At 37.4% G+C, this 25,579-nt stretch overlaps 1 long non-coding RNA gene across 6 annotated transcripts in view, besides 1 other annotated feature; it reads left to right on the top strand.

The window, feature by feature from the left end:
* The window catches only part of LOC105372753 (uncharacterized), a 72,352-nt gene that overhangs the window by 22,380 nt on the left and 24,393 nt on the right, over positions 1-25,579 (top strand). For all 6 annotated transcript variants that reach the window (NR_188560.1, NR_188566.1, NR_188564.1 and 3 more), the window contains one exon: positions 2,904-3,026. This is a non-coding gene — a long non-coding RNA (uncharacterized LOC105372753). The remainder of the gene's footprint in view (positions 1-2,903; positions 3,027-25,579) is intronic.
* Positions 1,196-1,285: an enhancer, noted in NCBI's record as "active region_18306". NCBI's record gives its function as "activates an Ori minimal core promoter by ATAC-STARR-seq in GM12878 lymphoblastoid cells {active_cell/tissue: GM12878}" and the evidence as "EXISTENCE:reporter gene assay evidence [ECO:0000049][PMID:35858748]".

Genomic DNA, 25,579 nt, shown 5'->3' with positions numbered 1-25,579 from the left:
TTTTAATTAATTTCTTTTTTTTGTAATTCCAAGGCTACCACTGAGGTTCAGATTCTGCATTTTGGGGCATCAGAACTAGTTTTTTTTTTTTTAATTTGAGGAAATATGCTATATGCTAGCATAGGGATGGCAATGCAGCCTATGCATATGTGTTCATTGGAGTGTGCACACTTGTGTACATATATGCATGTGTACCATGTGGTTGCCCCTGGAGTCAATAAGGGAAATTCAAGGTGGGGGTTGGGGAGGGAACTATCTCATTGACTTATAGAGTATTGGAAAATACAGAGTTTTTCAAAATAGAGGAGGATGGCTTGCACATAGCAGCTTCCTGACCATTCCCAGGGGAAATTAAAATCCAACAGAAGAATCAAAACATATTCCTTCTTTTAGTTCTCCATTTTTTCCCTTTATTTGGAGATGAAAGAGTAGAAAAGAGAATTATTTTCTGTTTTGCAATTTACAGCTCCTAAATATTCAGAGTAGAGTGGACAGTCATATAATTGCTGTGATTGAGAATGACAATATTTTTCTGATTGAAAACATCTCTCAGTTGGCAAATATAGTGCTGGAAGTTTATACCACTGTGTCACTTCACTAGGCTTAAAGCAGAATTCAGAAGGCTCTGTTAAAATCAGAAATGTTATCTGAAAAAGTTCACTCATTATTACCTATTAGAAAGGATTACATTTTTTTTACATTAAGTGAAATGAAACATAGCACAAGTAAATTTTGTAAAGATTCAAAGGAGAGGATCTATGACGGGGAGAAGCTTGGTCTAGATGGAGTATTTTTCAAGGAGGGCTTTGAATTACCAGGGGCTAGGTTGTGTGCATTTGAGTCCTGGAGAGAAAGAGGTGGATGTACTTTGAAGAAAATTGAGGAAAAATTGAGCAGAATTTTGAATTGATAATTTTGTCCAGAGAAAACCTTGGATTTTTTTTTTTTTTTTTTTTTTTTTTTTTTTTTTTTGAGAAGGAGTCTCGCTCTGTCACTCAGGCTGGAGTGCATTGGTGCGATCTCGGCTCACTGCAACCTCTGCCTCCTGGGTTCAAGCGATTCTTCTGCCTCAGCCTCCTGAGTAGCTGGGACTACAGGAGCGTGCCACCACTCCCAGCTAACTTTTGTATTTTTAGTAGAGAAAGGGTTTCACCATATTGGTCAGTCTGGTCTCGAACTCCTGACCTCAGGTGATGCACCCACCTCAGCCTCCCAAAGTGCTGGGACTACAGGCATGAGCCACCATGCCCGGCTGGATATTTAACTTATTATATTTTATTGCTAGCTATTAATGCTTTCTATATGCTAAGCATTCAAAGTCATTTACAAATATTAACTGCTTAAAACCTTCAATTACAAGGTGGGTACTATTAAAATCATCCTTATCATGCCAGTGAGAAAACTGAGGAAGGAGGAAGTGATCTTCCCAGGTGCTATAAGTAGCCATGATTTACATCTAGGCGTTCTGCCTCTAAGTCAGCAGTCAACACTACACACATACTTCTGTGATGCATGTGAAAATACACAGCTGTCACAAATGTCAGGATTCAGAGAGGAGCATCATTGCACTTATCCCTTTCTCTTGATTTTTTTTTTTCCAGAAAGCCTTATGCTGATAACCAAGATGTATATTTTGGTTGTTTTAAATTTGTCTGTATGCATTCTTACCATTATCTAATCACCATCTTCACTTGTTAGGATGATATTCTTCTCTAGTGCAAAATTAATTCATTCATTCCTTTGTGGAACATGATATGCTGCTCTCTTTGATTTAGTTTCTAATATATGGATGTGAAAGAGCTCGTGGACTATTTTGCAATGCTTCTGTTTACAAAAGATGCCTATTTGTAGGCAAGATAAGACAGAAACTATAATTTAGTAAAGATTTATTGAGCACTTACTATGTTTTAGGCATTATGGTAAGTACTTTATAAGTATTTTCGTGTTTAATCCTTGCCACTAACCTATGAAGTAGCTACTATTATCGCCTTCATTTTATAAAAAGTAAACTGAGAAATAACAAAGTGAAAACAGAAGAACAAAACCCAGAAGAAATAAAACAAAATACCTAGAAATGAACTGAGCCAACATTTAAACCAATACTCTGCTCCAGAGAACAGCATCAGATTGTCTGTACTGATGGACAGACAATGGAATTCTGAGTTCCATTACTGTAGATTAAATGAGTTAGCACATAAAAATTACATAGATAAATACCACCTGGTAAAAAGCAAGTACTTAATAAAGGTTAACTATTAGTTTGTTACCTGAGTATATTGTATGATGCTGAGGTTTGGGGTATAAATGATCCCATCACTGAGGTACTGAGAATAGTACTCAACAGATTTTCAATTTTTTCTTCCCTCCCTCCCACATCATGTAATTCCTGGTGTCTATTGTTACCATCTTTATGTCCATGAGTGCCCAAAGTTCGGCTCCCACTTACAAGTGAGAACATGTGGTATTTGGCTTTTTGTTCCTGTGTTAATTTGCTTAGGATAATGGCCTCTAGCTGCATCTGTGTTGCTGCAAAGGACATTATTTTTCTTTTTTATGGGTGCATAGTATTCCATGGTGTATATGTACCACATTTTCTTCATCCAAGCCACCGTTGGTGGGCACCTAATTTGATTCCATGTCTTTGTTATTGTGAGCTGTGCTGTGATGAACATATGAATGCATGTGTCTTTTTGGAAGAATGATGTTTTCCATTGGATATATACCCAGTAATAGGATTTTTGGCTTGAATGGTGGTTCTGTTTTAAGTTATTTGAAAAATCTCCAAACAGCTTTCTACAGTGGCTGAACTAACTTACATTCCCACAAACAGTATATAAGCATTCCCTTTTCTCCACAGCCTCGCCAACATCTGTTGTTTTTTGACTTTTTTTTTTTTTTTTCAGACGGAGTTTCACTCTTGTTGCCCAGGCTGGAGTGCAATGATGCGATTTCGGCTCACCGCAACCTCCACCTCCCGGGTTCAAGTAGTTCTTCTGCCTCAGCCTCCCAAGTAGCTGGTATTACAGGTATGCACCACCACACCCGGCTAATTTTGTATTTTTAGTAGAGTCAGGGTTTCTCCATGTTGGTCAGGCTGGTCTCGAACTCCTGACCTCAGGTGATCTGCCCTTCTCGGCCTCCCAAAGTGCTGGGATTACAGGCCTGAGCCACTGCACCTGGCCCTTGACTTTTTAATAATAGCCATTCTGACTGGTGTGAGATGGTATCTCATTGTGGTTTTGATTTGCATTTCTCTGATGATTAGTGATGATGGGAACTTTTGTCTTATTTTGTTTTTATTTAGTTTATTAAACTTTTAAAATTAAAGCCTAAAATGTATACAGAAAATGTACATTTCCTAAAGTGTAGAATTCACTGAGTTTTTGCAAACTGATTACTGTCATGTAATTGGCATTCAGATGAAGAACAGAACATGTCCAGTACCTAGAGACCACTTTTGTTCCTTCTGGGCACTATCCCAAAACCTCAGGAGTAACCACCATCCTGACTCCCAACAGCATTGATTTGCCTTCACTTTTTTTGCGGGGGGAGGTGGTGGGGCACAGAGTTTCACTCTTTTTGCCCAGGCTGGAGTGCAATGGCACAATCTTGGCTCACTGCAATCTCAGCCTACTGGGTTCAAGTGATTCTCCTGCCTCAGCCTCCCAAGTAGCTGGGATTACAGGCATGCACCACCATGCCTGACTAATTTTGTATTTTTAGTAGAGACAGGGTTTCTCCATGTTGGTCAGGCTGGTCTTGAACTCCTGACCTCAGGTGATCCACCCGCCTTGGCCTCCCAAACTGCTGGGATTACAGGTGTGAGCCACCGCGTCCAGCCTCTTGTTTTATCTTTTATAGAAATGGAAGCAGGGAGTTTTATTCTTTTGTGTCAGGCCTCCTTCACTCCAATGTCTCAAAGTCTGTGAGAGTCATCCTTATTGTCTCAATGTCTGTGAGATTCATCCTTATTGTTGCATGTACTTAAGCTTGCTCATTCTTATTATATTACATTGTGTGAATATACCACAATCTACTTATACAGTTGCACTGTTGACGGGCATTTGAGTAGTTTCCAGTATGGAGCACTTATGAGTAGTGCTATGTTATAGTACATGCCTTTGGTAAACATGTATTAGCTATTTTTACTGACCATTATGTACGTTAGAGAAAATTCAGCATGATGGTTTAGTCAGAAGGAAATAAAAACCAAGAAGATCCTGTTATTAGTGTATTAAAAATTAATGTCGATTGAGAAAATATTGCAAAACAAAAGAAAACATGATTTTGAAATTTGTGGCACACCAAGCTGTCAATAAGTCAATAAGAATGTCTTACATATTAGAAAATGAGAGCATAAGTTTCAAATATCTCATCATGAAAAATGATACGTAGGTGAAGTTGATGGATATGGTAATTAGCTTGAGTTAATTATTCCACATGCTATACACATATCAAAACATTACATTATACCCCGTAAATGTATACAACTATGACTTGTCAGTTAAAGAAAGTTATTATTAGATTAAAAAACCAATCAGAACTCAGTAGCACCATCCATCAGTTCCCTGGTTCATCTCATGTGTGTGAATCTGTACCTTCAAAAAATAAGGTACACTTTCTAACTCACAAATAAAAAGAAGGACCAATGGATATTGGACTGGAAGAGGAGTATGCTACAGTTTCCAGGAGGTCAAGAATTGTGATGGCGGCTCTGAAGGTGAGGGTTATGGATGGCCCATAGCCAACTCAAGGTGGCCATTCATGAGATGTGCTGATTTTTCATGGTCATGTCTAAACTGGGATGAAGAGTCTGCTAAAACTCATCAACCCACTTCGTCATATAACAAAAAGTTGAGCGAAGAACTTGAATAATATTGAACAAAACAATTGGTTAGGAGTATTGGCTAGGGTTCCAAATAATTATAGTTGGACAAAGTCAGCATGTATCTCACCTGAAAACAAATGACAGTAACAGGAAGTAAAGTGCAATGTGCATCTGGTCACGCTGAAGTCTGCGGTGGGAAACTAAATGTAGGGTGTTAATAGATTCTTCTACTTGAAGGTTGTACTTGGAAGAGAAAGAGGAGCTGGAGAGAGAATAGTTGAAGCTTCAGTATTTCAAAAATGTAGGATTTGATTTAAGAGTCATCAGTTTCTGACAAGAGACGAATTTGAAGTGATGAATATTGAGGAAAATATTGTAGCTCAGATTTGTGGATTAAATTAACTTTACATTCATTTTAAGAGGGTGGCAAACACTCAATGATAATCATCAAGCTAAACAGTGTGCTATCCATGAATGATTCACAAAAGTAAATAGTGTAGAGGAGGTGCTTCATCTTCCACAGAGGAATAACAGAGAAATGGAGATAATTTTGTCAAAATCAGAGCACTGAAGATGAGCATTTCATCTTTGAAAAGACAGAAAAGGTAATGGCAGTAAATGTCAGGGAAATTCAGTGTTGGAAGATGTCTGTCCAACCTGTATGTTTTATAGATGAGTAAAATAGAAAACTGGTGAAAGATGAGTCAGGCTCTTGAGTCAGGCTCTCTAGGTTTAAATCCTGGTGCTCAGACTGACTCTCTTTGGCCTGTTTTTCTTTTGCAAATTGAGGTAATAATTGTATCTAAATCAGAATTGTTTTGAAGGTTAAATGAAATAATCTAGATAGTGCTGAACAAGTGCCTGATATGTAATACATGTTAGTTATTGATTTTGAGTGACTGCCCTAAAGTTTTACAGCTAGTTAACAATAGAGTTGCAACTAGATCTCAAGTTTACCAGGCCCTCAAACTTCCAATTTAGTGTCTTCCAAACGTATCACATTGTGTCTTACAGGGATTTCAGAAACCCCTTTTCTTTGCTCTGAATTCAGAACCAGTTCTGGTGTAGACATGCGAGTCAGGGAGATGGGACCAAAATATCATATTGTTTTTCACTCATAAAAGCTGGATTAAAGGTTATGACTTAGATCGAGGACAGCTAGATAAACTTTCCGTTGGTATAGATTGGGGCAAGGATTCCCCTGGGAATCTCAATTCACCTGCCCACTCTCTTGCCACAATCTATACCAAAGGAAAGTTTATCTGCAGCTAAGAATGCTGTCTTGCTTTAGGGGGTAAAGGGAGGAAGGGGTATGAGAGAAGAGAAGAAAGGGCAGAAAGATCCTAGATCCTTCTTGTGTAGAAGTTTTGAGCTATGTTAGCTCTACTCAGTTGATAAATATGCACTAATGGCTGTCATCCACCAACTAGGTGATGTAGTCTACCATATCAGATCCCAAATCCTTCTTGTGTAGAAGATGTGAAATATTAGCTTTATTCAGTCAATAAATATGCACTAGTAGCTATCACCCACCAACTAGGTGATGTAGTCTACTTTACGAGGTAGATTACTTAGTAGACCTCTTTGGGGTATGACCAAAAGTTGGGCAGAAAAAGGAGAAAAAGGATCCTCTCTGCAGAGGGAATAGTGTATGAATAGGCTGTACTTGAATATCAAAACCATGAAGTGAGTGCAGACTCGTGGAGGAGGAATGCCAGCAAATCAGGAGTAGCAGCTTTCCTTCTCCAACTTGTCTCAATGCTGACACAGCAATTCCAGATTTTAAAATTAACACAAAGAACTTGCTGATGATATAGAAATAAAGAGAGCATAATTTATTCATTCGTTTAATAAATGTGGAACAAATTTTTTTCCTTTTTCAACCCTATTAACCGAAGAACAAGTTTGTTTTTAAATATCAGCTAGATTGCATCACTATTTTTAAGGCCCTCTAGTGATTTGCAATTGCAGTAGAATACAATCCAAACTCCTTACTATGACATTCAAGACTTTATCTGATCAGTTCCAACTCTTTGTTCCTTACTTGCTAAGATCCATCCACATAGCCTCTTTCTGTTCCTTGGTCATGCCAAGCTTGTTCCAACTGCTATAGGGTCTATAGACTCAGGGTCCAGATCTTAATGTTGGTTTTTTATGTCATTCAGTTGCAGCTCAAATATTGCCATGTATAGAGGCTTTGTCTCACCACCCTATCTCTAGTACCCTTCCCATCACACTAATACATGGCCTGTCTTATATGTTGTATTGATTGCAATTTACATCTGAAACAGTCTTGCTCATTTATTTGTTTCTTGCTTATTGTCAGGCCTTATTCTGCTACAATTAAAAGCTTCGAGAGAGCAGGGATCTTGCTCTGTCATTCACTGATGATCTTTGGAGGCCCAAAGAGTGCTGGTATATAGTGGGCTCTTGAAAAATATTGTTAAAAGAATGATTAAATAAGTAAACAAATGGATGAATGAATATAGCTTATAAGGCTCTGGGGACTTCCAGACCAATAGAGATTATTTCAAGAACTCACAGTCTAGTTAATTAACTTTAGTGAAATGTATTAAGTGCTATAGTAAAGGCACATGTAAAGTGTGTTGCAAGAATAGAGATGGAGAACTGGAAGGAAGGCTCCAGTGTAATCACTTTTTATATGAGAAAGTAATTCTATGAGAAAAAGTGATTACACAGTAGGTCTTCTTGGGGTATGATGGAGAGTTGGCTAGAAAAAGAAGAGGTGGAAGGACATTCTAGGTAGAGGTAACAGTATATGAATAGCTTATTCTTGGACATCGAAACAATGAAGAGAGAGCAGACTCCAGGTACTCAGAAATGTCATTCTGGTCTTTCATGAAGCAAATTTAAAAAATAACAGAAAAAAACATAGTATGATTCCATGTCAGGGATCCTAGCTCATAGATGACATGGTTCAAGAGGAATTAGAAGAATCCTCCTTAATAATAACTACAAATTACCAACAAGAAAGGAGGAGGATCTAAGAGGCTGTTGGATATATTTAGATTTTAGGTAGATAAATAAACAGAATATACACAGAGGAGACCATGCTTTTGGAGAAGCAGAATAAGGGAGATGAACCTTAAGGATTATGTGAGACCAGAAGAAATGGTGGCTTAGAAAAATGTAATAGCTAAATATGACTTTCAGACCCTCAGTTGGAAAAAGCAATATAATCCCTCATGGAAGAGGCAACCCCTTTACTTAACAGAAGTAAGCATAATATAGTAGTTGAGAGAAAGAAGGCAAACCTTATTCTCTATCATTTTATTTCTAGCTTTTCCATTCAGTGAAATAAATTTCAGATTGGAAAGGTTACAGGCAGCAGCAAGTGCAGGGAATGAAGATCTAGGTAGATGAATTTCATTTTATATGAATTTATGTGTCCAGACTAAAAATACATTAGAATTAATAAAATAATGGAATGATTTGCTAGTGGAGAGACTTGTTCGTGTGTTTGATGTATGAAAAATGAGAGAAGAGAGTATCAGAAGAAGTAAGGGCAAGTATAGAAGAAAAAGGTTGTTGCTCCATTTAGGTAGGCTATTGTTAAGCTAATTTTGGTTTAAGCACACACAGAAATTACCTATACTCTCCAGTAAATACGCTTTTGAATTATAATAACTGTGTCTGAATCCAGACATTTCTGGCTTAGCTTAGTTGTGAAGATTTGGGTTTAGTTATTTTTCAGTATCTATCTATCTATCTATCTATCTATCTATCTATCTATCTATCTATCTACCTACCTACCTATTATCTATCTATCTATCTATCTATCTATCTATCTATCTATCTATCTATCTAATTTTTTTCCCTAAAACTTTTCTAGATCTCAGACATTGCTCCCAAAAGTGCCCTTTGGCTGACCAGTGCAATGGAGAAAATCTCTCAGAACCGTAATACTTTGGTTTGGGACACTGATCCCTTAATGAATATTTAGGAATTATTGTGAAATAATATTGCGTTTTAAGAGAATTGTCAACTATATGAGAAAGCTATCATTCAGCTCACGAAGACATGCTCTTCCACTCTTAATTATTTAGCAGGAAATCTATGTTCTGAATGTATCTGGCACATATGTGTATTCATGACACATAACTGGATTTTTTGAGGTCTTTCAAGGGTAAAAGGGAGAAATGATTAAAGCATCCCTGGGGAAATGTGGCAAACTCTTTGAGTCATAAAATTACCCCCAAATAGAGCATGTTCAAAGGGACTTTTTGTCTGCATAGTGAATAAGTAATTTTTTTTTTTAATGCGAACTACATACACTTTTGCAACTTAGGATTTAGCAACTCATCTAAACCACTGAACGTTAGGAAGTATTCCTGCCCAGTTTCTTAGAACTTTCACTGTTCCCTTTTCTTCTGAAGGCTGTTGTTGTGAACATATGTGTCAAAAATGGTTTATGTGCTTCAAGATAAGTCTTGGTCCATGTTGTTAGTCAAAATCTTACTGTGCTGATTCAGGACTGTATCAAAAACAAATTTATGAATTTACATAGTCAAGCTGTGAAACACTGACATTAAAGTTTTAGATTGTTTCAATTAGATTGTCTCGCTGAGTTCCACACCTCTTTTTCTTCAAGTGGTTTTAACCTTTATTTGTACATTGCATTAAGTCAATACATTTAAAGGTGTTTATTCTTGGTATTTACTAAATTTAAAATTACAAACAGAGGCCGGGCGCAGTGGCTCATGTCTGTAATCCCAGTACTTTGGGAGGTTGAGGCTGGCGGATCACGAGATCAGGAGATTGAGACCATCCTGTCTAACACGGTGAAACCCTGTCTCTACTAAAAACACAAAAAATTAGCCGGGCGTGGTGGCAGGCAGCTGTAGTCCCAGCTACTCGGGAGGCTGAGGCAGGAGAATGGCATGAAAAAAAAATTACAAACAGAAAGGGTTTTTTTTTTTTTTTGCTCTAATGAGAGTAGATAGTAATAACAATTTTAGCAGTACTAATTATATTTCAGATGATTGATGTAATTTTTTGTCTCAAAGAAGAATTTTAAAATTTAGCGGCCTTTTAGGTTGCAAATTCTAAAATGCATATTCCCCATACATAATAGCAGACATTCAAGAGATAATGAAAACTGAGTTTTTCTGTTAAGTCCAAGAGCCTCCAAATAAGAGTCTACACATCTTGGAAGAATTTGTGAACATTCTTTAACCTTTTCCTTACAATGCTTCAGTGAGAAGACTTTACAATATAGTAAAGCAATCTTAGAAATAATATGAAGAATTTCCTTAGAAATGTTCAAGGAAATAAAGATTATCTGAGGGAAAATATGAAATGTAACGAGAAGGAAACTGTATTGAAGTTGGTTAAAATCGATATAAGATTTATGGTATGAAAAAGATATTTATGCACCTCTAAAGTGGTTCTCTAAGACCATCTCTTGCTGTAGGGTAGATTGGGGTTGTTACTCAAAAGGAATAGATTGCTTTCAATATAGAAGGAGGGCAAAATAATTACCTACATTCACTTCCTCCCTCCCTCCTCTCTCCTTTCTTCCCTACTCTCTCTCCTTTGAACACTTACTATGTGCTCCCACTGTGTTTAAGTTATATTGGTCATACTGTGATAGGAAGAGGACTCCCTGCTCTTAATAGAGTTTGCAGTTTAGTGGGAAACTGTCATATACAGACATTAAAACGAGGGCATTGAGGGGATGTCCCTGAATTCTGTACCATTGTAGATTCTCCAAGTGCATGTGGTTGATATTTTCTCTTCTTTATCTTATTTTCTTCTTCTTCTTTTTTTTGGCTATTTCATCATATCGATTTTTTAAAAAAATAAAGCTATTCTAGTTATTTGTAATTTTTTGTCTTTTTGATAATAGCCATCCTAGTTGGGGTGAGATGATAACTCATTATGGTTTTGATTTGCATTTCTCTGATGTTTAGAGCATTTTTTCATGTATTTTTTTTGACCATTTGTATGCATGTCTTCTTCTGAGTAATGTCTTTTCAGATCATTTGTCCATTAAAATTTTTTTTTGTCATGGTTAAGATGTTTGAGTTTCTTGTGTATCTTGAATATGAATTCCTTGCCAGTTGAATGGTTTGCAAATATTTTCTCCCATTCTTTGGGTTGTCTTTTAACTCTGCTGCTTGTTTCCTTTGCTGTGCAGAAGCTTTTTAGTTTGATATAATCCCATTTGTTTATTTTTGCTTTTGTTGCATGTGCTTTGGAGGTCTTATTCATAAAATATTTTCCCTGTGTTTTCTTCTAACAGTTTTATAGTTCTAGATTGCACATTTATGTCTTTGATCCATTTTGAGTTGATTTTTGTATAGGGTGAGATATTGGGGTCTAGTTAAATCCTTCTGTATATGAATATCCATTTTCCCCAGAACCATGTATTGAGGAGACTGCCCTTTCCCCACTGAGTGTTTTTGGCACCTTTGTAAAAAATCAGTTGGCTATAGATACATGGATGAATTTCTGGGTTCTCTATCCTGTTCTGTTGGTCTAGGTGTCTGTTTTTATTCCAATACCATTCTATTTTGGTTACTACAGCTTTGTAGCATATTTTGAAGTCAGTTAGTGTGATGCCTCCAGCTTTGTTCTTTTTGCTCAGGATTGCTTTGGCTATTAGGAATCTTTCATGGTTCCATACAAATTTTAAGATTTTTTTCCTATTTCTGTGAAGACTGTCATTAATATTTTAATAAGGATTGCATTGTATATGTAGATTGCTTAGTGTGGTCATCTTAACACTATTAATTCTTCTGATCTGTGAGCATGGGATGTCTTTCTATTTGTATACTATTCACTTACTTTCATCAGCGTTTTGTTTTCCTTGTAGAGTTCTTTCACATCCTTGGTTAAATTTATTCCTAGGTATTTTTTTGTGTGTAGCTATTGTAAATGAGATTGCCTTCTTGGTTGCTTTTTCAGCTAATTTGTTGTTTGTGCATAGAAATGCTACTGATTTTTCTATGTGAATTTTGCATCTTGCAGCTTTACTGAATTTATTAGTTCTAAGAGTTTTTAGGTAGAGCTTTTAGGTTTTTCTATGTATAAGATCATGTCATCTGAAAACAGACTATTTGATTTCCCCCTTTTCAATTTAGTGTGCTTTAGTTCCTTCTCTTGTTTAATTGTTCTGGCAAGGACTTCTAGTACAATGTTAGATAGGAATGGTGACACTGGGCATCCTTGTCTTATTCTAGTTCTTAGGAAAAACGTTTTCAGCCCTTTCCCATTTAGTATGATGTTAGCTGTAGGTTTGTAATCTATTGCCTTTATTGTGTTGAAGTACTCTCCTTCCATCCCTAATTTATTAGGAGTTTTTATAAAGAAGGGATGTTGAATTTTATCAAATGCTTTTTCTGCATCTATTGGGATGATCATATGGTTTTTATCCTTCATTCTGTTAATGTGGTGTATCATGTTTATTGATGTATCATGTTTATTGATTTGCATATGTTCAACCATCCTTGCATTCCTGGGATAAATCCCAGTGATAATGACGTATTATTTTCTTGGTGTATTGTTGGATTTGGTTTGCTGGTATTTTGTTGAGGTATTTTTTGTGTCTGTGTTGATCAGGAATATTGGCCTATAGTTTTCTTTTTATGTTGTGTCCTTCTCTGGTTTTGGTATCAGGGTTATGCTGGCTTCATTAAATGAGTTACGAAGAGTTTCTTCCACTTCAAATTTTTTGAAACAATTTGAGAAGAATTGATATTAATTCTTTAAAATTTTGGTAGAATTTAGCAGTGAAGTCATCTGGTCTTGGATATTTCTTTACTGGAAGACTTTTTATTATGGATTCAATCTCATTGCTTGTTGTTGGTCTGTTCAGGTTTTCCATTTATTCTTGCTTTAATGTTGGTATGTTGTATGTGTTGAGGAATTTATTCATTTTATCTCGATTTTTAAATTTACAGGTGTATAGTTGTTCATAATAGTTTTAATAATCCATTGTATTTCTGTGGTATCTGTTTTGACATCTTTCCTGTTTCTGATTTTTTTTAAATTTAGATATTCTTTCTTTTTTCTTAGGTCTAGCTAATGGTTTGTCACTTTTGTCTATCTTTTCACAAAGCCAACTTTTTGTTTTGTTAATCTTTTGTATTTTTATCTCAATTTCATTTCTGCTTTGATCTTTATTTTTTTTTCCTTCGACTAATTGTGGGTTTGGTTTATTCTTGCTTTTATAGTTCTTCGAGATGTAACATTAAGTTGTTTATTTGAAATCTTTCTAGTTTTTTTAGTGTAGACATTTATCACTATTACTGCCTCTTTTTTTTCTTTTTCTTTTTTTTTCTGTTGCCCAGGCTGGATTGTAGTGGCATGATCTTGGCTCACTGCAACCTCTGCCTCTTGGGTTCAAGTAATTCTCATACCAGACTCCCAAGTAGCTGAGATTACAGGCACATGCCACCATGTCCGGCTAATTTTCATATAGTAGAAACGAGGTTTCACATATTGGCCAGGCCACCATGTAAGATGTGACTTTGCTCCTCATTCACCTTCTGCCATGATTGTGAGGCCTCCCCAGCCATGTGGAACTGTGAGTCAACTAAACCTCTTTCCTTTATAAATTACCCAGTCTCTGGTATTTTTTTTTCTTCGTTAGACAGAGTCTTGCTCTGTCACCTAGGCTGGGCTAATATTTGTATTTTTTTTGGTAGAGATGGCGTTTCACCATGTTGGCCAGGCTGGTCTTGAACTCCCAACCTCATGTGATCCACCAGCTTCGGCTCCCCAAAGTGCTGGGGTTACAAGCATGAGCCACCGTGCTCAGCCTAAACTTGCCTCTTAAGGCAAGTTTTGCTATCTCCCATAGGTGTTGGTATGTTTGGGTTCTATCTGCATTTGTTTCAGGGAATTTTAGAATTTCATCCTTAATTTCCTCATTCACCCATTATTCATGCAGGAGCCTGTTGTTTAATTGCCACATATTTGTATAGTTTTGAATGATCCTCATTATTGATTTCTAGTTTTATTCTGTTGTGGTTAGATAAGATAGTTGATATGATTTCAATAAAAAAATTGAGACTTGTTTCATATCCTAACATGTGGTCAATCCTGGAGATTGTTCCTTGCACTGATAAGAAGAATATGTGTTCTGCAGCTATTGGGTAAAATGATCTGTAAATGACTATTAGGTCCATTTACTCTATGGTGCATTTTAAATCCAATATTTCTTTTTTTGATTATCTGTCTAGATGATCTGTCCAATGCTGACAGTGGAGTATTGAAGTCTTTAACTATTAATATTATTGTATTGGGGTCTATCTGTCTGTTTCAATCTAATAATATTTGCTTTATATGTCTGAGTGCTCCAGTGTTGGGTGCATATATATTTACATTTGCTATATTTTCTTGCTGAATTGGTCCTTTTATTATCATATATTGCCGCTGTTTGCCTCTTTTTCACAGGTTTTTTGACTTGAACTGTTTTGTCTGATATATGTATAGCTACTCCTGCTCACTTTTGGTTTTTATTTGTGTGGAATATCTTTTTCCATCCCTTCACTCTCAATCTATGTGTGTCTTTACAGCTGAGATGAATTTCTTATAGGCAGCATGTAGTTGGGTATTTTTTAAAAGAAATCTGTTCAGCTCATCTATATCTTTTAAATGGGAAATTTAATTCATTTACATTCAAGGTTATTATTGATAGGTAAGAACTTATTTGTGTCATTTTACTGTTTCTTTTTCTGATTGTTTAATATATTCTTTCTTTCTTCCTCTATTATTGTTTATTTTTATGGTTGGGTGGTATTTTGGTAGTGATAAGTTTTGATTCCTTTCTCTTTCTCTTTTGTGTATTGGCCTTCCTGGTGAGTTTTATAGTTTTGCATGTTTCATAATGGTGGTTATTGTCTTTTTACTTCCAGATGTAAGACTCCTTTGAGCATTTATTGTAAGGCCAGTCTAGTGGTAAAAAATTCCCTTAGTTTTTACTTATCTGGGAATGGTTCGATTCCTCCTTCATTTTTGAAAGATAGCTTTGCTGGGTATATAATTTTTAGCTATCTGTTTTTTCTTTCAGTACTTGGACTGTAGCATCCCACTCTCTCCCAGCCTGTAATTTCTGCTGAGAAATCTATTGTTAGCCTAATGCATATTCTCTTATATGTGACTTGATGCTTTTTTTCTTGCTGTTTTTAGAATTCTTTCTTTGTGTTTGTCTTTTGACAATTTGACTATAATCTGCCTTGGAGGGGCCCTGTTTGATCTGAATCTATTTGAGGTTCTTCGAGCTTCCTTGATCTAGATGTCCTTCTCTCTCCCACAACTTAGGAAGTCTTCAGCTGTTATACTAATTTAGTAAATAAGTTTTTACACTTCTTCATACTTTTCTCCTTCTGTAACACCCATAATGTGAATATTTGTTTACTTACTGATGTCTCGTAAATCCTGTACATTTTCTTTTTTCCTTTTTAACTTTTTTTCTTTTTTTTGTCTGCCTGTGTTGTTTCAAAAGACTGTCCCCAAGTTCAGAAATTCTTTCCTTTGCGTGGTTTAGTCTGTTGTTGAAACTCTTGATTGTATTTAGGCATTTTATTTATTGATTCTTCAGCTCTAGGATTTCTATTTTTTTAAATATCTATCCCATTGTTGAATTTCTCATTCAAAGTATGAATTGTTTTCCTGATTTTGTTGAATTGTCTGTATTCTTTTATATTTCAATGAGTTTCCTTAAGATCACTATGTTGAATTCCCCTTCTGACATTTTGTTTATTTTCTTATGATTGGGGTCTGTTACTGAAAAATTATTGTGTTCATTTGGAGGTGTCATTTTTTTGTTTTTAATGTTTGATATGTTTCTATGTTGATTTCTGTGCATCTGGTGGAATAGTCAGTCACCTCTTCCAATTTTACAGGGTTTTCATAGGGAAAAATGTATTTATATACATGAGTCTTGACGTGTCAGTTCAGTGGGGGTGAATTGACTTTAGTTTAAGGTGGGTACAGTAGTGTAGTCTCCATGAAGTTTTTTCGGTTGTAAACTAGGCTAGTGATGTTTGCAAGTGTCCCAGTAGCCTAGGCTAAAAGAATTTATGGTAGTGGTGGTGCAGCTTTGCTGGGGGTGGGTTTACTGAACTGTTTCTCAGGCCAGAGAAGCATTAATGCACACAGTGGTTGGCCAACTTGGCATTGGCTCACTTGGGTTGGGGTCATGGGGCTGTTACTTTGGCCAGGAAGGGCATGGTTGTGTAGTGGCTTGGCTGGCCTGGGGGCATACCTGCCAGGGGTGGCCTATGGATTGGGCCTGGATGCTTTACATAGCTGTTTGACTATCCTGGGTGGCCCCTGGCCATGTTTCTCAGGCCTGGGACACAGGTGCATGTCAGCTTGGCTAACGTGGGAGCATGTCTGCTAGAGGCAGATGGTAGGGCTACAGGCCTGGGAGGTATGTACAAGCCTGCTGTGTTAGCCTGGGGGCATGCCAGTCAAGGACAAGAATGCCCACTCTCACCACTTCTATTCAACATAGTACTGGAAGTCCTAGTCAGAGCAATTAGGAAGGAAAAAGAAATAAAAGGCATCCAAATAGGCGAGAATGCAGTGAAATTGTCTGTTTGCTGATGACATGATCTTATATATAGAAACAATAAAGACTCCACTAAAAAAACTGTTAGAACTGAAAAACAAATCCTGTAATGTTGCAGAATAAAAAATCAACATACAAAATTTAGTAGCATTTCCATACTCTAATAACAAATTATCTGAAAAAGAAATTAAGAAGGTAATTTCATTTACAATAGCATAAAAATACTTAGGAGTAAATTTAACCAACAAGGTAAAAGATCTCTACAAGGAAAACTATAAAACATTGAAATAAACTGAAGACAAAACAAACAAATGGAGAGCTATACTGTGTTCATGAATTGAAAGAATGAATATTGTTAAAATGCCCACACTACTTAAGGTGATCTACAGATTCAATGCAATCTCTATCAAACTTTAAATATCACTTTTTACAGAAATAGAAAAAGCAATCCTACATTTTTTTTTATAGAGCCACAGAAGACCCCAAATAACCAAGGCAATTTTGAGCAAAAAGAAAAAAGCCAAAAGGCATGACATTACCTTATTGAAAAATGCATTGCAAAGCTATAGTAATCAAAACAGCATGGTAATGGCATAAAACAGACACACTGACCAATGGAACAGGATAGAGAGCCCCAAAATAAATCCAGGCATTTATGATCAATTGATGTTTGACAAAGGTGTCAAGAATACACTGGGGAGAGGACAGTGTCTTCGAGAAATGGTAAAGAGAAAACTGGATGTCTACATGCAGAAGAATAAAATTGAATTCTTATATCACCCCATATACTCAAAGTGGATTAAAGACTTAAACGTATGACTTAAAATTGTAAAACTTCTAGAAGAAAACATAAAGAAAAGCTCTATGACATTGGTCTGGGCAATCATTTCTTGGCTATGACTTCAAAAGCACAGGCAATGAAAGTAAAAATAGACAAATGGGATTGTGCTAAACTAAAAAGTTTCTTTCTGAACAGCAAAGGAAACAACAGAGAGGAAGAGACAACCTATAGATTGTAAGAAAGTATTTGCATATCATACATCTGATAGGCTAATAGCCACAATATATAAGAAACTTAACAGCATGAAAACAAAAAACCTGATTTAAAATGGGTAAAAGACCTGCCTGAATAGGCATTTCATAAAAGAAGACATGCAAGTGGCCAAAAAAAAAAAAAAATGAAAAAAAAAAGCTCAACATTTCTAATCAGGGAAATGCCACTTAAAACCACCTTACACCTATTGGAATGGCTAGTATCAAAAAGGTGAAAGATAACAAATTCTGGAGAGGATGTGGAGAAAAAAGAACCTGTGTACACTGTTAGCGAGAATGCAGATTAGTACAGCCATTATGAAAAACAGTATGGAGGCTCCTCAAAAAACTAAAAACAGAATTACCATATGATTCAGCAATTCCACTGCTGGATATATATCCAAAGGAATTAAAAACAATATGTCAAGGAAATATTTGCATCCCCATGTTAATTGCAGCATTATTCACAATAGCCAAGATATGAAAACAACCTAAGTGCCCATCAGTGGATAAATGGATAAATAAAATGTGGTATATATACACAAAGGATTATTATTCAGTCTTAAAAATGAAGGAAACTCCGTCACTTGTGATGATGTGGTTGAACCTGGAGGACATTATGCTAATTGAATAAGCCAGGCACAGAAAGAAAAATACTGCATGATCTCACTTATAAGTGGAATCTAAAAAAGTTGAACTGGGAAATAGAGAGTAGAATAGTGGTTACAAAGCCTGGAGGGCTGGATGGATGGGGAAAGGGGAGATGTTAATCAAAGGGTGCAAAGTTTCAATCAGGCAGGATTAATAAGTTCTAGTGATCTATTGCATGGTCTGGGGACCACAGTTAATAATAATGCATTGTATATTTCAAAATTGCCTAAAAAGTCGATTTTACATGTTCTCATTACAAAGAAATAATAAATATATGAGGCGATGGCTATGCTAATTAGCCTGATTTAATCATTCCATAATGTATATATTTATTATAACATCCCATTTTACCCTATTAATATAATTATCTGTCAATTACAAATACAATTTAAAAATTTTTTAGCTTTTTTTTTAGAACATGAAGTTAAATGTTGTCAAGCAATGTTTCATAATTTTTATTTTAGAGGTTTTGTTTAACTTTTCTTAGGTTTATTTCTATTCCTAAGCATTTTATTTATGGTGCCATTGTGAATTTTAAATAATTTTATTTTCTAATTGTTGTTAATATAGGAGAAACATGATTGATTTTCATATATTATTCTTGTAGCTATTAAGTTTACTTAATAATTCTAATGGTTTGTAATAGTTTAAAAAATTTTCTGTGTATACAACCATGTCATCTGCAAATAATGACCATTTTACTTCTTTCATTCTAATCTTTATACACTTTCCCACCCTTGCTTTATTGCATGTATTCGAATTTAAGTATTAAATGGAGGTGGTAATAAGTAGACATCTTTGTTATGTTTCCCTACCATATCGTATCTCACTAGGAAAGCATTCAATATTTCACCATTAATATAATAGTAATGTAGGTAATGTGTAGATGTGGTTTTATCAGATTATCAGATTAAGGGACTTTTATTTACCTGATTAGGAATTTTTCATTTAATTCCTTTTCTTTTTTTTTTTTGCTGTCAGTTTTTATCATGACCAAGTGTCACTTTTTGTCAAATGCCTTTTCTGCGTCCTTTGATATATTCATTTCCCTCCCACCTTATTCTGTCAATATGTTAATTTATATTGATCAGTGTTCAAATGTTAAAACAATCTTGTGTTGCTGAGATAAATTCCACTTTCTCTTGCTGTATTATCTTTTTTATATATTATTTGACTCTACTTGCTATTCTTTTTTTAAGATTTCTGTATCTACATTCATGAGGTATATTGATCTTTACTTTTCTTGCATGTATCATCATTATGTTAGCTTCATAAAATGAGTTGAGAAGTGTCCCTTCTTTTCCTAATCTCTGAGTGTGTGGGTTTGATATCATTTCTTTCTTTAATGTTGATAAGAGTTCTCTTGGGTCTGGAGTTTTCTTTGTGGGATAGATTTTTGTCATTGTTGTTGTTGAGACAGGGTCTCACTCTGTTGCCCAGGCTGGAGTGCAGTGGCATGATCATTGCAGCCTTGACCTCCCATGCTCAAGCATTCCTCCCACCTCAGCCTGCCAAGTAGCTGAGACTACATGCACATGCCACTACACGAGGCTAATTTTTAAAATTTTGTAGAGATGGGGTTTCCTTATCCTGCCCAGGCTTTTCTTGAACTCCTGGGCTCAAGTGATCCTCCTGCCTCCACCTCCCAAGGTTCCAGGATTACAGGCATGAGCCACTGTGACCAGCTCGCTTTGGGGAAAAGTTTTAAATGATGGATTAAATCTACTCAAAGTCAACATGATCAGTTTTTTTGAACACCCCTCTTTTATGGTCACACAGCATATATTTTCACTTTCACAAATTAAAAAAAAAATTTACTGCACTGGTTTAGTCCATTCTCACACTGCTATAAAGAAATGCCTGAGGCTGGGCATGGTGGCTGATGCCTATAGTCCCAGAACTTTGGGAGGCCAAGGCAAGCAGATAACCTGAGGTCAGGAGTTTGAGAACAGCTTGGCTAACATGGCGAAACCCCGTCTCTACTAAAAATACAAAAATTAGCCAGGTGTGGTGACGTGCACCTATAATCCCAGCTGCTCAGGAGGCTGAGGCACGAGAATCACTTGAACCCAAGAGGCGGAGGTTACAGTGAGCTGAGATCATGCCACTGCACTCCAGCCTGGGTGACAGAGTGAGACTCCGTCAAAAAAAAAAGAAGAAATACCTGAGACTGGATAATTTATAAAAGAAAGATAAGATGTTTAATTTGCCCCTGATCCCACAGGCTGTATAGGCAGCATGATGCTGGCATCTGCTCGGTTTCTAGGGAGGCCTTGGGAAATGTATAATCATGGCAGAAGGTGAAGGGAGAGCTGGTACTTCACATGGCTAGAGTAGAAGGAAGAGAGAGAGGTGGGAGGTGCTACAAACTTTTAAACAACCAGATTTCATGAGAACTCACTATGATGACAACAGCACCAAGTGGGGGTGGTGTTAAACCATGAGAAACCATCCCCATGATCCAATCACCTCCCACCAGGCCCCACTTCCAGCATTGGGGATTACATTTCAACATGAGATTTGGGTGGGGACACTGATCTAAATTGTATCATGTAGTATTTGAAACCTCACATGTATATTTGAACCCAGCTTCCATTATGTGTCTGAATGACCTGAAAAGAGCAAAACTAACACTGCTGAGGAAGAGGAACATTTTCTAAGAATGTCTGAGCAGATTAGTTAATTAAGTCAGCTTTTAATGTATTCCTGTGATGTGTCAGCTACGGTGCTAGCCGGTGGTACTACTTCTCAAAACAGAGTGAAGTCCGTAGATACTTATGCAAAATAAATTTTGAAACAATGTCACACACATACACTGGAGACACCTGTTAACCCAGCAGGGCTGAAAAGACTTTGCTGAGGAGTTAGTATTTGGGTTGGACCTTGAAGGATTAGTAAGAGTTCACCAGTCAGGGAAGGGAGGAAGGACTAGACAGATGGTATGTTATATTATATGCAAAGGCATGGTCGTGGGAAAAGGTAAGATGTGTGAAAAAGAGGAATGAGCTTGGTGTTAAAGGAGATTAGAGTACTTGGGGGGACAGCCATGAGAGTTGTTGTTCTAAAGAAATATTGGGACTTTCAGGAAAGACGTTTGTTTGTGGTGTAATAAGTTGAATTCTATCCAGCAGGCAGTGTACAGTCAGTCACCAGTGGATTTTAACCAATGAACAGACATTATTAAATCTCTGTTTTATAAAGTTACTCTGGCCATTGTGGGGAAGATATATTTGAGTGGAGAGAGACCAGTGGAAGATCAAAATATATGGTGTACAACCAAACAATGAAAATTACTGTATATAAATATCAAGGGATAGTTCGTCTCACTGAAATTATATGAGAACTAAATATTCAGTACCCACTTTTTTAAATACTTGAATGCATAAACATTTTTGTATGTTTATCTAACTTGTATTTGAGTTGATTCAGTTTTACAATGGGCTTGGAAAGACCTCACTGTTGGGATTATATTTGTCAGAGCTCAGTCAGGGAAAACGGTCATGATGATCATCATGAGATAAGGGGTCGATTATAGGATCTCTAGTAATTGTGGGTGCATTAGTCCATTTTTACACTGCTATAAAGATACTACCTGAGAATGGGTAATTTACAAAGGAGACTTAATTGACTCACAGTTCCACATGGCTCAGGAAACTTGCAATTATGGCAGAGGGTGAAGGGAAAGCAAGGGCCTTCTTCACAAGGCAGCAGAAGAGAGACAAAGAGCGAAGGGTGAAGAGCCCCTTATAAAACTATCAGATCTCATGAATGCTCACTCACTATCATGAGAACAGCATGGGGGGCACTGCCCCCATAATCCAATCACCTCATACCAGGTCCCTGCCTCAACACATGGGGATTACAGTTTGAGATCAGATTTGGTTGGGGACACAGAGCCAAACCATATCATTCTACTCTGGCCATTCCCAAATCTCATGTCCTTTTCACATTTCAAAACACAATCCTGCCTTCCCAACAGTCTCCCAAAGTCTTATTTCAGTATTAACCCAAAAGTCCAGTCCAACGTCTCATCTGAGACAAGGCAAGTCACTTCCACCTATAAGCCTTTAAAATCAAAAGCAAGTTAATTACTTCCTAGATACAATGGGGTTGCAGGCATTGGGTAAATGTTTCCATTCCAAATGGGAGAAATTGGCCAAAACAAAGGGGCATAGGCTCCATGTAAGTACGAAACCCAACAGGGCAGTCATTATATCTTAAAGCTCTGGAATGATCTCCTTTGACTACATGTCTCACATGTAGGTCACACTGATGTAAAAAGTGGGCTCCGACAGCATTGGGCAGCTCCGTCCCTGTGGGTCTGCAGGGTATAGCCACCATGGCTGCTTTCACAGGATGACATTGAGTGCCTGTGGCTTTTCCAGGTGCATGGTGCAAGCTGTCAGTAGATCTACCCTTCTGGGGTCTGTAGGATGGTGGCCCTCTTTTCACAGCTCCACTAGGAAGTGCCCAAGAGGGGATTCTGTGTTTGGGCTCCAACCCCACATTTCCCCTCTGCATTGCCATAGAAGAAATTCTCTATGAGGGCTTTGCCCCTGCAACAGACTTCTGCCTGGACATTTAGGGGTTTTCATACATCCTCTGAAATCTAGGCAGAGGTTCCCTAAGCTCGATTCTTGTCTTCTATGCACCCACAGGTCCAACACCACTTGGAAGCTGCCAAGGCTTGGGGCTTGCATCCTCTGAAGCAACAGCTGAAGCTGTACTTTGGCCCCTTTTAGCCATGGCTGGAGCTTGAGCAGCTGCCTTGCAGGGCACCATGTCTGGAGGCTGCAAAGAGCAGTAGGGCCCTGGGCTGGCCCAAGAAGCCATTGTGCTCTCCTAGGCCTCTGGGCCTGTGATGGGAGGGGCTGTCTTGAAGGTCTCTGACATGCCCTAGAGACATTTTCCCCATTGTCTTGGCTGTTAATATTCAGCTCGTTGGCTTGAATTCCTCCTCAGAAAATGGGGTTTTCTTTTTCACCACATGAACAGGCTGCAAATTTTCTAAACCTTTATGCTCTGCTTCCCTTTTAAACATAAGTTTCAATTTCAAACCATGTCTTTGTGAACATATATAACTGAATGCTTTCAGAATAAGCCAGAATTGACCTCTTGAATGCTTTGCTGCTTGAAAGTTCTTCTGCCAGATACTTTAAATCATCTCTCTCAAGTTCAAATTTTCACAGATCTCTAGGGCAGGGGCAAAATGCTGCCAGTCTCTTCACTAAAGCATAGCAAGAGGGACCTTTGCTCCAGTTCCCAATGAATTCCTCATCTCCATTTGAGACCACCTCAACCTGGATTTCCTTGTCCATATTACTATCAGCATTTTGGTCAAAACCGTTCAAGAAGCCACTAGAGAATTCCAAACTTTCCCACATTTTTCTGTTTTCTTCTGAGCCCTCCAAACTATTCCAACCTCTGCCCATTACTGGTTCCAAAGTTACTTCCCCATGTTCAAGTGTCTTCATAGCACTGCCCCAATTCTGTGTATTAGTTCATTTTTACACTGCTATAAAGGTACTACCTGAGACTGGGTAATTTATAAACAAAAGAGGTTTAACTGATGTATAGTTCTTCGTGGCTGGGGAGGCTTCAGGAAACTTACAATCATGGCAGAAGGTGAAGGGGAAGAAAGCACCTTCTTCACAAGGTGACAGGAGACAGAGAGGGTGAGGAGGGAAATGCCAAACACTTTTAAAGCATCAGCTCTCGTGAGAATTCCCTCACTATCACGTGAACAATATGGGGGGGAGACTTCCCCCATGATCCAATCACCTCCCACCAGGTTCCTCTGTCAACAAATGTGGATCATAATTCAAGATGAGATATGGGTGGGTACCCAGAGCCAAACTGTATCAGGCACTTTGATTTTACACTTCTTTCATTTTGTTTGGAACTCAGACAAGATTTGGAGCTTTCTTCTTGTGACCTTAGGTGACAAACATATATTAGGATCACTGATCATAAAGATGGCATGAACTTGAGTTTCTGATGACATTATGGGGCTTCTCTTTCAGCTCTGCACTAACTACTGACTTTTCATACATCAGAAAAATAAAACCCCAAATGTGTGACTAGCAGCTGAATTTCATTTCTAACTGACGGGAGTTGGGAGGGCAGGGAAGCGTTGGGAGGGCCTTTCTAAAGCAACAACACAATTGTGAGTGCCTCTCAATTATTAACTAATAGTACCTCTCAATCATTAGTGTACATACAAATTACCAGGGGACCTTGTTAAAATACAAATTCTGATTCAGTAGGTGTGGAATGATGTCTGAGACACTGCATTTCTAACAATTCTCATGTGATACTCTTGCTGCTGGTTTCTGAACCCACTTTGAGTAGCAGCAAGGATCTAGAACACCACTATCCTGCCAGTTGAACCAACGAATGTTATCAATTTCCTGATTGTAAATGTACCCTATTTTCTTGTACCTCAGCTACTTGAAGCTTACCTGCTTTGTTTACTGCATCATTCTATCATATTTAATCGTAATAACACAAAGCAAAAAGAGTTGAAAGAATAGATCTATCTACTAAAATAAAGATGTTTCCAACACGAACCGCAAATCCATCAGGGCCAATTTCAAAGCATAATGATAGGCAGCTCGCATTCCGAAATTAATGAAAAGGAAGCTTAAGTTCCTCTCTGTAATGTTGTTCTCTGCATAGCCTCATTGTGCACATCCTCTTGAGACAGTAATAGAGTTCTTGGGGCTAGGGTTTCCACTGCACATCTGCCTTGGGAATATTCAGCTTTCCTTAGTTCAATTATCTTTAGGACATGCTCTGAATGAGCAGCTAAAGTAATTTCCACTTTTATGATTGCTGGCTAGTTGTTTGAATACTCCTGTTGCTCTTCTGGAAGTAATGGGCATTTTGAGAGAAAGTAGAGGCCAATATTTGCCAGAAACATTAGACAATTAGGAAGAAAAAGGTATCCAAAGAAATCCAGGGTTCTTCCCAATGCACTTTCAGATCTTCTGATATTTCCTTCCTCTGTCTAACATGAATATTACATCCCAGCTGGTCTTACCTGCTTGCCATTGCCTGAACACAAATGATCCATTCCCACCTCTGCTCATACAGCTCATACTGTTTTCTTGACATACCCTCACCCACTAACTTCCCCTACCAGTAATCATTGCTATCCAGTGTGGGCCCTTATTATATCAGGCTGTGGGTTATATGCAGAACTCAATTTAATTCTCAAGCAATCTTACCAACTAGGTATTATGGACTGCATCCTCAATTCATATGTTGAAGCACTAACCCCCAATGGGATGCTATTAGGAGGTGGAGACTTTGGGAGGCAATTAGGTTTAGATGAGATCATGAAGGTGGTGTCCCAACTTTTTTTTACTCCTTACGCTTGAGGAGCAATTAAGGACTTAGCAACAAGTAAATCCACAACATATTTCAAATGCTGCAATCCTTTGGATCACTAAGACCTCCTTTGATTTTTCATGAAAAACATCATCCTATGCCAGTCAATACAAGCAATGAAAATTGAAATT

Source organism: Homo sapiens, chromosome 21, assembly GCF_000001405.40.
Source record: "Homo sapiens chromosome 21, GRCh38.p14 Primary Assembly".
Classification (NCBI taxonomy): domain Eukaryota; kingdom Metazoa; phylum Chordata; class Mammalia; order Primates; family Hominidae; genus Homo; species Homo sapiens.
Note: the sequence above shows the minus strand (reverse complement) of the source record. Positions and strands in the feature narration are given on the sequence as shown.